General features: G+C 43.1%; 1 protein-coding gene across 4 annotated transcripts in view; it reads left to right on the top strand.

The window, feature by feature from the left end:
* TYW1B (tRNA-yW synthesizing protein 1 homolog B) overlaps positions 1 to 13,618 on the top strand; it is a 253,688-nt gene that overhangs the window by 114,961 nt on the left and 125,109 nt on the right. The gene's annotated exons all lie outside the window — the stretch shown is intronic.

Below are 13,618 nucleotides of genomic sequence, written 5' to 3'. Positions count from 1 at the left end.
TACCTCCGCCTCCTAGGTTCAAGTGATTCTCCTGTCTCAGCCTCCTGAGTAGCTGGGTCTACAGGTGCCTGGCACCATGCCCAGCTAATTTTTTTTTTTTTTTAATAGAGATGGGCTTTCACCATGTTGGCCAAACTGGTCTTGAACTCCTGACCTCAAGTGATCCTCCCGCCTCAGCCTCTGAAAGTGCTGGCATTACAGGTGTGAGCCACTGCGCCTGGTCTAATTTTTATCTTTATGTCTGGGATTGGTACTTGAGAAGGTTGAAAACTATATTGTTGTTAATAAGGAACTTCCTGAGAAAGACGTGGAGTTGGGGTATTTGTGATAACCATTATGTAAGTGTAGTTTATTTAGACCACAGAATGTGTGAAAGAGAGTGGCAGGTGGAAGTCAAGTTAGAAAGGTTGGGATTAGATGGTCTAGGACTTCAAATGCGGTCCCTTGGAAAGATCTTGCTTCCTGCAGAGCAGTCTGCTGGCATGGTATGCAATTGGGGAGACAAGAAGCAGCAGGAGCCTAGATAGGAGATGATGATGTTTGCTTAGGTCAGAGTTATAAGGGTGGAAGCAAGTCAATGTGAATGAGGGAGTCTTAAAAAAGATGCTGTTAAGCCAGGCGCGGTGGCTCATGCCTGTCATCCCAGCACTTTTGGAGACTGAGGCCGGTGGATCACCTGAGGTTGAGAGTTCCAGACCAGCCTGACCAACATGGGGAAACCCCATCTCTACTAAAAATACAAAATTAGCTGGGCATGATGGTGCATGCCTGTAATCCCAGCTACTCGGGAGGCTGAGGCAGGAGAATCGCTTGAACCCGGGAGGCGGAGGTTTCGGTGAGCCGAGATCGCACCATTGCACTCCAGCCTGGGCAACAAGAGTGAAACTCTGACTCAAAAAAAAAGATGCTATTGGAGGATTGCTAGGTATGATTGGCAAACTGCTTGTATGGCTCTGAGAGGCTAGCGGAGAAGAGGACTAGGTAATTACACCGAGGGTTCCAGCCATGTTGATTGCTAGGATTATGGGGCCCCATAACAGCAGAGGGCTCTTGTAAGGAAGGGTCAGGTTTAGGTGGTAGGATGATGAGGTTGGGTTGGATGACTTAAGGGAGGGCTCTCCTTATAGGGATGATCAAAGGCATCTCCTGGGGCCTCTGGGGAAATGATCTGTTTTTGTGTCATACTGGGACTAGGCACATGCTGTAACACCAAAACTATTATTACATTTACTCATCTGTTATGTATTGGTGTTTTCCCCGATTAGACTGCAAGTTCCTTGAGGTCAAGACCTCTGCTTATTTATCTCAGTGCATTTTTTGCCTGGTGCCCTAAAGGTGCTCAGTACATGGGTAGTGAAATATTGGGGAAATAGGAAAAAAAAAAGATCTTTTTGAATTCAAGTTTGTTTCGTAAACACTGGCCAATAAAGTATAAGATTGTAAGAATTAAAGGGGCAGGGCGCAGTGACTCACGCCTGTAATCCCAGCACTTTGGGAGGCTGAGACGGGCGGATCACCAGGTCAGGAGATTGAGACCATCCTGGCTAACATGGTGAAACCCCGTCTCTACTAAAAATACAAATACAAATAATAATAATAATAATAAGCCAGGCATGGTGGCAGTTGTCTGTAGTCCCAGCTAGTCGGGAGGCTGAGGCAGGAGAATGGTGAGAACCTGGGAGGCGGAGCTTGGAGTGAGCCAAGATCACGCCACTGCACCCCAGCCTGGGCTACAGAGCAAAAAAAAAAAAAAAAAAAAAAAAAAAGAATTAAAGAGGAGAGAAACACGAAGGGCTGCTTAACAGTTAACAGGTTTATTCTGAACCTGGGAGGGACTTCTGACTGAGTTAGGTCAGAAGCCACACTCTGTTACAGACTAAGAGTTTTCAAGGATTCAGGGCGGGAGAGTTTATCAGAAGCCTGGACTGCTTCTGTGTCTCTTTGTGGTGCTTATGCTTATCTGGGAGGGAGAGGTGTGTGTCTGTTCCCATATATCTTTCTGCGCGGCAGGCATAGCCCCGAGTCTGCTTTTAGCCTCCCTATCTTAGTGCACCTGAATGGAAAGGAATGTGCTTATTAAGGCCCACTGTTTTACTGGGGCCCAGTGTATGAGGGTGAAGTTTGGCAGTTACCCAAGAGACTTTTCCCTCACCTCCCTCTGTGCCCCAGGGGTCTTATCTGTGTTTTACTGTCTGCTGTTTCTGGCTGCTTGTAGTTGGAAGTGATTTCCTTGAAATGCATGAAGCTAGAAAGGGAGGTGGAACTTAAAAGTGGCGGGGTTTGTCCGAGGTGACGGTGCTCCTGCTCTGTCAAAGATGTGAAAAAAGGTGAAAGTATTTGCAAAAAATTAAGACCACGGTTATTTCTAGAAAGATTGATCACATACATTCGCACACACAGAGTCAGCTTGAAATATTTGTTTATTTATTTTTGAGACAAAGTCTAGCTTTGTCTCCCAGGCTGGAGTGCAGTGGCACAATCTTGGCTCACTGCAACCTCTGCTTCCCAGGTTCAAGCGATTCTCCTGCCTCAGTCTCCCCAGTAGCTGGGACTACAGGCGCACGCCACCATACCAGCTAAAAGACAGGGTTTCACCATGTTGGTTAGGCTGGTTTCAAACTCCTGACCTCAAGTGATACACCCGCCTCGGCCTCCCAAAGTGCTGGGATTACAGGCGTGAGCCACCGAGCCCAGGCTGAAATTTAATGTCATAGGAAATCGAAGAGTTGATTAAAATTATTAGCTACCAGGCAATAATATGAAAATCAGTGTATTGTCATAAAGATAACTAAGCTATTACTTTTTGAAGTTGTATAAAAAGGTGAAGTTAAAATGTTTTTTAAAAGTCAATGTGTCTATTTTACATAGGGTTGCCATTTCTGTTTTTAAACTTTAGTTGGGTTTTAAATTCCTGAATTTTCACATGGCTGATGTGCGGGACATTGGGATAGAGTGGTGTTTGGGGTATATGCATAAAGAAAGGGAGTCTGTCTTAAATTAAAGGCATATATCCCCAAAAAGAATGGAATCTGTTAGTAGTAGGATATAGTAATTTTTTGCAAAATGATAACCAGAGAAGATGATTCATTGTTTGATCATGAATGGAATTGTCTGGGAATGCCATCATGGATTGAGGAAAATTATAGAGTATGATATAAGATATTTACCCGAAAACGTCCAGCAAAATGCCGGGCACATTTGTTAGATGTTATCGAGTCTCTCTTTCCCTCTCTTGCTGGTGAGTCTTCTCAGGCCTGCAGAGGGATCGTGGAATACGACAAGATGTTCGTACTAGCCTTGATTGCCATCTTCAACAAACAAATGAGATAGGATGGCATATGATTCCAAAGAAATAATTCTTCATTTACTAAACCTGACTGGGAAATGAGGAGGGAGACAAAAAGGAAGAAGTAAGGTGGCAGGATTGGGCTAATAGGAAGATTAGCAAATTTCTCCGATCCTGAAAATGAGAGTTTAAAAAGTGGATGGGTTTACTCTATCAGGAATCATCAAGAAAGAAGGAATGCTTAGGAAATAGAGGTTACGCTTTTGGAATTTTTTTTTTTGTTTTTGAGACGGAGTCTCGCTCTGTCACCCAGGCTAGAGTGCAATGGCGCCATCTCGGCTCACTACAAGCTCCGCCTCCAGGGTTCAAGTGATTCTCCTGCCTCAGCCTCCCGAGTAGCTGGGACTACAGGCACCCACCACCACCCCCAGCTAATTTTTTGTATTTTTAGTAGAGACAGGGGTTTCACCGTGTTAGCAGGATGGTCTCGATCTCCTGACCTTGTGATCCGCCCGCCTTGGCCTCCCAAAGTGCTGGGATTACAGGCGTGAGCCACCACGCTCGGCCACGCTTTTGGATTTTTAAAGCATCCTTGAAGCTCCTAATATGAAGGGTGCTGTGCTTCAGGGAGTAAGCAGGCAAATTGTGTTGCATTTTTTAGGGTATGTCCTTCCCTGGAACAAGACAGAATATGTAGAAAGTAGCCATTCTAGATTTAGATCTCAAAAAGTGGGCACGTCTTTGTTATCCATTGAAATACCTATCTAGAAAGAGAAGAACAAAAGCAAGTCTGAGATCTGCAGATTACTGCTAGGATATGGGAAGAATTTCTGATAATGGAAGTCTGGTAGACATGGGTTGAGGACATAGTCTTTCATCTTACCTTTTTCTGAAACAGAGCAGTCCTCCTGGCTTGGGAATAATGTGTGTCCAAATGTTAGGAAGTCCTAAGTATAAGACAACCCTCCTAGCCCCACATTTTTCCAATGAAAGATGTGAATTATCTAGAAAAAATTTCAAAAACAAAATGATTAGGATTGCCATGCTAGATATTATGACGTGTCATAAAACCACAAGTTTCAAACACTCTGGGCTATAGAGTAGTGCAACAAGATAGTCTTCAGAAAGCCTTTACTTTTAAACTAATTCTTTCAGGACTTGAGGCCTCTCCGAATTAAACTAAGGATGCTCCCTGCCAACCCCGATATCCCAAGAGAAAACAGAAAGAAAAAGTTTTCTAAGAGGAGATAATCTTACTTATTTCTGTGGATAGGAGGAATCAAAATACCAGCTGTCTCTGGTATCTCAGTTTCTTTCAGAAAAATAAGGCTGTAGATTAACTAATAGGACACAGAGGCCATGTATTTTGGAAGTTTCCTTTAATGTTGATAATGCTAATTCTATACAGCAAGTCAGCTCATACAGCAAGTCAGCAAGTTCAGCTATTTGCTGAGCCTCTTGCAGCCATTTCATCTTTGAGCACACTGTAAGAATTAAAGAAGAGAGAAACAAGAAGGGCAGCTTGACAGTCAATAGGTTTATTTTAAACCTGGGAGGGGCTTTTGACCTTACACATACACTAGGAAGTAATAATGTTCTCTTGTGGTTGGGTGGCTTATGTATTTTTTAGTTTTTTAATTAGAATTTTTTTTTCTAAGTAACTGCAATACCACCTGTACTCTGGTATCTTTTCAGGGGAATCTAGACTTTGTCAATAGTCTGTATTATATTCAGGCTAGTGGCTTTTTCAGGGTACTAAACCTTTCCCTAAAAGGGTTTCAGTCTTCCCTCCAGCTCCAAAGCATGTAACTGTGTATTAGTCTGTTCTCGCATTGCCATAAGGAACTAACTGAGACTGGGTAATTTGTGAAGAAAAGAGGTTTAATTGGGTCAGAGTTCTGCAGGTTGTAGAGGAAGCACGGCAGGGGAGGCCTCAGGAAACTTACAATCATGGCGGAAGGCAAAGGGGAAAGCAGGCACATCTTCACACAGCAGGAGGAAGAGAATGAAGGGGGAAGGGAAATGTTGCACACTTTTAAACAACCACATCTCGTGAGAACTTACTCATTATCACGAGAACAGCAAGGGGGAAGTCCCCATCACCCAGCCATCTCCCACCAGGCCCCTCCTCCAACATTGAGCATTACGAATTCAACATGAGATTTGGGTGGGGACAGAGCCAAATTATATCAGACTCTTTACTGACAGTTCTGCCCCTTAGAGGAGTTTTCACAGTGAGTGGTCCACCAGGACTTTTGGGAGAGCCAGGTATTTGTTGTGGATGCTGTGTAGAAGCAAACACCTTAGGCAAATGAGAAAGCTTTTGCTCTCTGAGTAGCTTTATGCTTTTGTTTGTCAAAACAGAGGTTAATAAAAGTGACAAGAATGTGTAACACACTTCATGTTAATAGGCCTGGTGGTGATTAGACAAGAAAAAAGCCATTTCTTGATAGGAAGGTACTGATATATTTTAATATGTGTCAGTTCTCTTTTGCTGCAACCACCCATCTCAAACTAACTAACAATCATTTATTTAGCTCATAATTCTTCAGATCAGCCTGGAAGTCTTTTGGTCTTGGGTGACTTTGCTGGTTGATGATGGGCTGGGCTGGGGCCCAGGGGCCTCTATTCACATGACCTCTCATCCCCCAGCAGCTATGCTGCACTTTATCACAGGGTGGCAGGGTTTCAAAGAGCAGCGATGGGGGCAAGCCCCAATGCGCGAGCATCTTTCAAGCCTTTGCTTGTATCACCTTTGCTCACTTCCCATGGACCAAAGCAAGTCACACAGCGGAGCTTCAAGTCAATGAGAAGGCACTCAGATCTACAGGGCAGGGGCACTTGGGTACTGGGACAGGAGGAGTCGATGGCCACATTTGCAGTCTACATACAGCACAACAGACCACACTTGTCAAGGAGTATAACCTTGAACCTACTGGGGCTCAGTATTCTTCAGAAACTCAGTTGATGATTATAATTATGTGAATAGCCCAGATGATATGCAATCCATTTTCTCCTTAAGCCCAGAGGTCTCAAACCCTCAGTTGGTAAGAAGTAGGTTTTGCTTTTCCTACAGCCTGTTTATCACTTTTTTTTGGAGCCAACATTGAAAAACCAAGAGGTTTTACATAAAATCTGGACTTTTGACTTTGAAAAGATGATCTGGCAAAAGTTGTCAAGATCCAAGGAGTAGTTATTTTTTCCAGGAAGCCCTGTGGTTTTCAGTTTCCCACACTCCTCTTGTCTTGCTGTTTCTTCAGCCCTGAGGCTGAGTGTCATCTGCCATTTGTCAGAGGAATTGCACGGTTGATTTTCTTATAAGAGAAATTCCTGTCACCATTTCTAAAAAAGTGAAATAAAGGTAGACTGAGAGGCCACATAGTCCCAGAACAATGGAAGAAAGCATATCACTTTGAGTAAGGAGAGAATATTCTTGTGTGTTTCATATGCAGTCTCCATTTTGGTACACAAAGAACTTTTGAGAGAGGAGAGAATATTCTTTTTTTTTTTTTTTTTTTTTTTGGAGATGGAGGAGTTTCGCTCTTGTTGCCCAGGCTGGAGTACACTGGTGCGATCTCGGCTCACCACAACCTCCACTTCCCGGGTTCAAGTGATTCTCCTGCCTCAGCCTCCCAGGTAGCTGGGATTACAGGCATTTGCCACCACACCCGGCTAATTTTGTATTTTTAGTAGAGACGGGTTTCTCCATGTTGGTCAGTCTGGTATCAAACTCCTGACCTCAGGTGATCTCCCCACCTCGGCCTCCCAAAGTGCTGGGATTACAGGTGTGAGCCACTGTGCCTGGCCGGAGAGAATATTCATGTGTGTTTCATATGCAATCCGCATTTTGATACACAAAGAATTCTTTTCCCTCTTAAAAGTGGCTTACTTGACTCACATTATTTCCTGGTCCCTGTAGACATGTGAGTTTAGAACTTTGTTCCAGAACACTGTACCATCTGTGCATTCAGCTTTGCAGTCCTAGAGAGGTGCATCATAGCTGATGTTATTGCTGCGATGGAAGATTCCATGGAGTCATTTCTTATACATAGCTCCACGCTGTAATGCTGACGACACCTTGTAAAAGCAGATCTCTGTATGGCATCGTGTTGTAAGGCAAGGAAGTTGTTGAGGAGGATGTTTCCCAACACTGAATAGCTTCTTCCCTCTGAGGAACCTCAGAGAACTGGTTTGTTCTTATCTTGTGGACATTTGAATCCTGTAACAGCATCTCCCACTTCATGAGTGTGCCAGAGTTCAGAGTCAAATTTGTAGTCATTTGTAGACTCACAAACTCTTATCTTCATATTTAGTCCACGTTAACTGTTATGTATCATAATCATCTATTTTACATTATTTTAAAATTTACATTTAGAATCTCATAGCTCTTTTTTGGTGAGTACTGTAAATCTAAAGCTTTTTAGCTGCTAGCAGGTTTATCATAAGAAGACAGAGCTGTGTTCAGCATTTAACTATGACATGATTAACTTCTCAGACTCACCTCCTGCTCCCAAATTTCATCCCTGTGTACATTTACTTTCGAACACCTTTTCATTGAAACTATGTAGGAACTTTATTCTCTTTCCTCTGCTGCTTCTGTATTTCTGTTTTGTTTGCTTTGTGTTTTTTCTCTAGTTTTTGCTGAGACATTCACCCCATCTTTTAGAGAACCTCTATAAACTGGATGTCTCTTTATGTATTAGGTGCATAGTATATGTTTGAAGAGATGAGTGAAGTTTAATAAACATGCAGTTTTCTTGTATGAGTTAGCTCAGAATGGTTCCAGAAAACAGCTACAATGAAACGAAGATTGAATACTGCCTGATTCTTTCAATAGAAGTTTCTTTCAATAGAGGTAAATACTGCCTGAGTCTTTCAATAGAAGTTTCTTTCAATAGAAGTAAATACGGCCTGATTCTTTCAATAGAAGTTCCCCGCCCCCCAGCCTATCTTGTTTGCACTAAACATATGAAGTTTAAAATCTAATTTTCTCTCCTGTCTTTGAATTCATGGAATATTTCTCTGAAACATGCATGTCTGGATGGGCTAAAGAGAGAGAGAGAAAGTGCAGAGAGGTGGCAAAAAGCTTGGGCTCTGGGCTAGAAAAGATCTAGGTTTCAATCTTGACTGGATCTCCTGGTGTCTTTCTGACGTTGGAGGATAACTTTTCAGTGCCCACTTTCCTCATTTGTAAAATGATAATAATAATAATAATGACTACCTTATGGTGGCATTGCGAGTATGTGAGATAAGACATGAAACACGGAAGTTTCACCTTTGGCAAGGCAGGCTAAGTAATGTTGGTCAAAATATACTTTAAGGCAAAACCCATTACTTGAGATAAGATTGACTTTTTTTTTTTTTTTCTTCAGAGACAGGGTCCCATTATATTGGCCAGGCTGGTCTTGAACTCCTGTGCTCAAGTGATCCTCCCACCCTGGCCTCCCAAAGTGCTGGGATTACAGGTGGGAGCCACCATGCCTGGCCAAGATGGACTTTTTTTTTTTTTTTTTTTTTTTTAAGATAGAATCTCATTCTGTCTCCTATGCTGGAGTGCAGTGGTGCGATCTGGGCTCACTACAACCTCCACCTCCCAGGTTCAAGCAATTCTCGTGCCTCAGCCTCCCGAGTATCTGGGATTACAGGCATGCACCACCATGCCCAGCTAATTTTTGTCTTTATAGTAGAGACAGGGTTTCACCATGTTAGCCAGGCTGGTCTCAAATGCCTGACTTCAAGTGATTTGCCTGCCTTGGCCTCCCAGAGTGCTGGGATTACAGGAATGAGCTACTGCGCCCAGACAAGATGGACATTTCTTAATAATAAAACGTTAAGCCCACCAGAAACATAAAATCATATAACAACTCAAAATTTTTAACACTGAATAATATAGTCTCAAGAATGACAGACTACAAAGCGGGAGGAACAGTAGTAGATTTTTAATTGATTTCTCTCAAACTGATAAAATTAGTAGAGTATTGAAGATTTGAACAATGGAGTTAACAAATTTAACCTATATCACAGAAATAGAGCATTCCAACCAGAAACTTTGGAATACAGATTTTTTCTTTTTTCTTTTTCTTTTCTTTTTTTTTTTTTGAGACAGGGTCTCACCCTGTCACCCAGCCTGGAGTGCAGTGGTGAGATCTTGGCTCACTGCAGCCTCTGCCTTTCGAATTCAAGTGATTCTCCCACCTCACCATCCCCAGTAGCTAGGACTACCGGCGCGCGCCACCACACCAGCTAATTTTTTTATTTTCTGAGAGAAACATGGTTTCACCATGTTGGCTAGGCTGGTCTCGAACTCCTGACCTCAGCTGATATGCCCGCCTTGGCCTCCCAAAGTGCTGGGATTACAGGCATGAGCCACCGCGTCTGGTCTGAATACAAATTCTTTTCAAGAGCACAGAACTTGTTCACAGAAAAATTACCAAATGGCCATTTGCTGAACATTATAGACATTTCAAAACAGGGTCGAAATTGTATAGAGCATGATATCTGAACACAATGGAATTAAACTAGAAACCAATACCAAGAGATAATTAGAATATTCTGGAATTTAAGCAACACACGTCTTATTTACTTGTGGGTCAAAAAGAAGTTACAGTGGAAATAGAAAATATACTGATAAGCTGGGTGCGGTGGCTCACGCCTGTAATCCCAGCACTTTGGGAGGCCGAGGCGGGCAGATCATGAGGTCAGGAGATCGAGACTATCCTGGCTAACACGGTGATACCCTGTCTCTACTAAAAATACAAAAAATTAGCCATGCGCAGTGGTGGGCGCCTGTAGTCCCAGCTACTCGGGAGGCTGAGGCAGGAGTATGGCGGGAACCCGGGAGGCAGAGCTTGCAGTGAGCCGAGATAGTGCCACTGCACTCTGGCCTGGGAGAAAGAGCGAGACTCCATCTCAAAAAAAAAAAAAAAATATATATATATATATATATATATATATATATATATATATAGATAGATAGATAGATGAATGATGATAGATAAGAAAACAAAATATGTGGGTTGGATGTCAGCAGAAATAGCAGAGCACAGACCTTAAAAATCTTGTTTCTCTGTGAAAACAATGAGAATACTGGCAAAAATGATCACAAGCGACTTTTTTTTACCTGTGGAAATTAACCAAAGGCATGCAACAATGTGAGGAGCATATATTCACGAAAAAATGGTTGCATCTCAGCAAGAAAAAAGAGCTTTGTGATGTTAACTTGTTATATTCCATTCTCACTTTCCCTAGCCTTGAAAACCAGTATCTCGGCTGGGAGCAGTGGCTCATGCCTGTAATCCCAGCTCTTTGGGAGGCTGAGGTGGGCGGATCATTTGAGGTCAGGAGTTCAAGACCAGCTTGACCTACATAGTGAAACCCCATCTCAACTGAAATATAAAAATTAGCCGGGTGTGGTGGCGGGCACCTGTAATCCCAGCTACTGAGGAGGCTGAGGCAAGAGAATCGCTTGAACCCAGGAGGCAGAGGTTGCAGTGAGCTGAAATCACACCATTCCACCCCAGCCTGGGGGATAGAGCAAGACTCCCTTTCAAAAGAAAATAAAAAAGAAAACCAGTAACTCACAACCACGGTAAAAACCAGCAGCCCGGCAGCTGTGGGAGGGGGCAAAACAGAGTGGGAACTCCTTCAAAGTCTCATTCCTGGGAAATTGTCATTATATATGACTTGTATGGCAAACCTGGAAACTTTCTCTCACAGGGGTTGTCTTTATTTGAAGTGACTCAAGTTTGTCTGGTGCAAAAAGCCTTTGGATGTTTCTCCTAAACAATTATAGACAATTGTTTAGCTTCACAAAGCTGCCTCAAGTGGCATTAACAGCTAGGGCAAACAAGAAGCTCACCAATAAATGGAAAAGGAAAAGCTGGGCCATGAGATGTCATAGGGGACTTTGAAAAGCTCCATCGTATTCCTGGGAATCTCCAACCCCACTCACACGATCAGGGCTGTGGGCATGCCAGAGAAGACTTGAGAAGGCCCTGTGCTCTTGGTTCTTACCGAGTAAGCAGGCAGCGAAAACCAAGGCAGAGTTGCAAACTGCCTGCCTGGGTGATGAGAACATTCCCTAACAAAAACACAGAGCCCCTTGACAAAGGCTGGGAGGCTTACCAGTTGGAAGCATTTAAGGATATCTCTGTCCATTAATGAGCTGACCACTAAGCTAACCAAACAGAGACTTCAGTGGCCAAACACAACAATGAATATCGGATTTACAAAATTATTTCAGCAAAAATAAACACAACAAACAGCAAAAAAGAAAACCAAGAAATGAATGAAACAATATGCCCAAAACCAAAGTAACCAACCAAACCAAACAAACCTGGGTTGAGAGGTATCTGATTTCCGGAGTTGCCACTAATGATATTTAAAACAATAGCCAGGCGTGGTGGCTCATGTCTATCATCCCAGCACTTCGGGAGGCTGGGACGGGAGGGTTGTTTGAGGCCAGGAGTTTGAGACTGGCCTGGGCAACATAGTGAGACCCTGTCTCTACAAAAAATTAAAACATTAGCCAAGTGTTTTGGTGCATGCCTGTAGTCCCAGCTACTGAGGATGCTGAGTCAGGAGGGTTGCTTGAGCTCAGGAGTTCAAGATTGCAGTGAGCCATGATCATGCGACTGCACTCCAGCCTGGGGGACAGAGTGAGACCTTGTCGCAAAAAATAAATAAAAAGAAAATGTCTAGTGTTTAAAGAAACTGACAAGATATACAAAGAAACAAGAATGTGTCCTATACAGTTGAAAGGAAACAGAATAGAATCCATCTACAAGGAAGCCTAGATGTTGGACTTACTAGACAAAGATTTGACATTGGCTATTTTAAATGTGTTCAAAGAACTACAGGAAAGCATTTTCTTTTCTTTTTTTTTTTTTCTGAGATGGAATCTTGCTCTGTCACCCAGGCTAGAGTGCAGTGGCACAATCTCAGCTCACTGCAACCTCCGCCTCCCCGATTCAAGCAATTCTCCTGCCTCAGCCTCCTGAGCAGCTGGGATTAGAGGCATGTGGCACTCCTGGCTAATTTTTGTATTTTTAGAAAAGACAGGATTTCATCTTGTTGGCCAGGATGGTCTTGAACTCCTGACCTCAAGTGATCTGCCCCCCTCGCCCTCCCAAAGTGGTGGGATTACAGGCATGAGCCACCACACCTGGCCAGAAAAACATTTTCAAAGAAACAAAAGTATGAAAATGATGACTCATCAAATAGACTATCACTGAAGTCTCTCAGAGACCCATGGGGCACCTTCAGGCATGCCAACATATTTATAAAGGGAATTCCAGAAGGACAGGAGAGAGAGAAATGAGAAGAAAGAATATTTGAACAAATACTGACCAAGAACTTCACAAACTAGAATTTGGGAAATTCACAAATATGTGGAAATTAAACAACACACTGTTAAATAACCAGGATATCAAAGAGAAATCACAAAGTGCATTCTTTGTAGTTGTTAGAAAATCAAAGAAAGGTCCAGGCGTGGTGGCTTACACCCGTAATCCCAGCACTTTGGGAGGCTGAGGCAGGTGGATCACCTGCAGTCAATTCAAGAACAGCCTGGCCAATGTGGCGAAACGCTGTCTTTACTAAAAATACAAAAAATTAGCTGGGCGTGGTGGTGGGTGCCTATAATCCCAGCTACTCCGGAGGCTGAGGCAGGAGAATCGGTTGAACCTGGGAGGCAGAGGTTGCAGTGGGCCAAGATTGTGCCATTGCACTCCAGCCTGGGTGACAGAGCGAGACTCTGTCTCACAAAAAAAAAAAAAAAAAAAAAAAAAAAAAAAAAAAGTGTAAAAGCTCTTTATGTATTGATATGGAATGATTTCTACAAGTTCACAATCTCTTATCCCATGTGCCCAAAAGTGTTTCAGAATTTTAGAAAGACAATACAGTTTATCCACTGTATTTTATGGAATATCTCCACCACCCTAGAGCCACACACATGTAATTAGTTCTACAATAAAGTATGCTTAGTCACAGAAATGGAAAAATTTGGCCAGGCACAGTGGCTCACGCCTGTAATCCCAGTACTTTGGGAGGCCGAGGCAGGCAGATCACCTGAGGCCAAGAGTTTAAGACCAGCCTGGCCAACATGGCGAAACCCCATCTCCACTAAAAATACAAAAATTAGGCAGGTGTGGTGGTGCGTGCCTGTAGAACCAGCTACTTGGGAGGCTGAGGTAGGAGAATTGCTTGAACCCGGGAGGTGGAGGTTGTGGTGAGCCGAGATCACGCCCCTGCACTCCAGCCTGGGTGACAGAGCAAGACTCTGTCTTTAAAAAAAAAAAAGAAAAGAAAAATTAAGAATACAAACAGCTTTGT

Source organism: Homo sapiens, chromosome 7 (assembly GCF_000001405.40).
Source record: "Homo sapiens chromosome 7, GRCh38.p14 Primary Assembly".
Lineage (NCBI taxonomy): Eukaryota > Metazoa > Chordata > Mammalia > Primates > Hominidae > Homo > Homo sapiens.
Note: the sequence above shows the minus strand (reverse complement) of the source record. Positions and strands in the feature narration are given on the sequence as shown.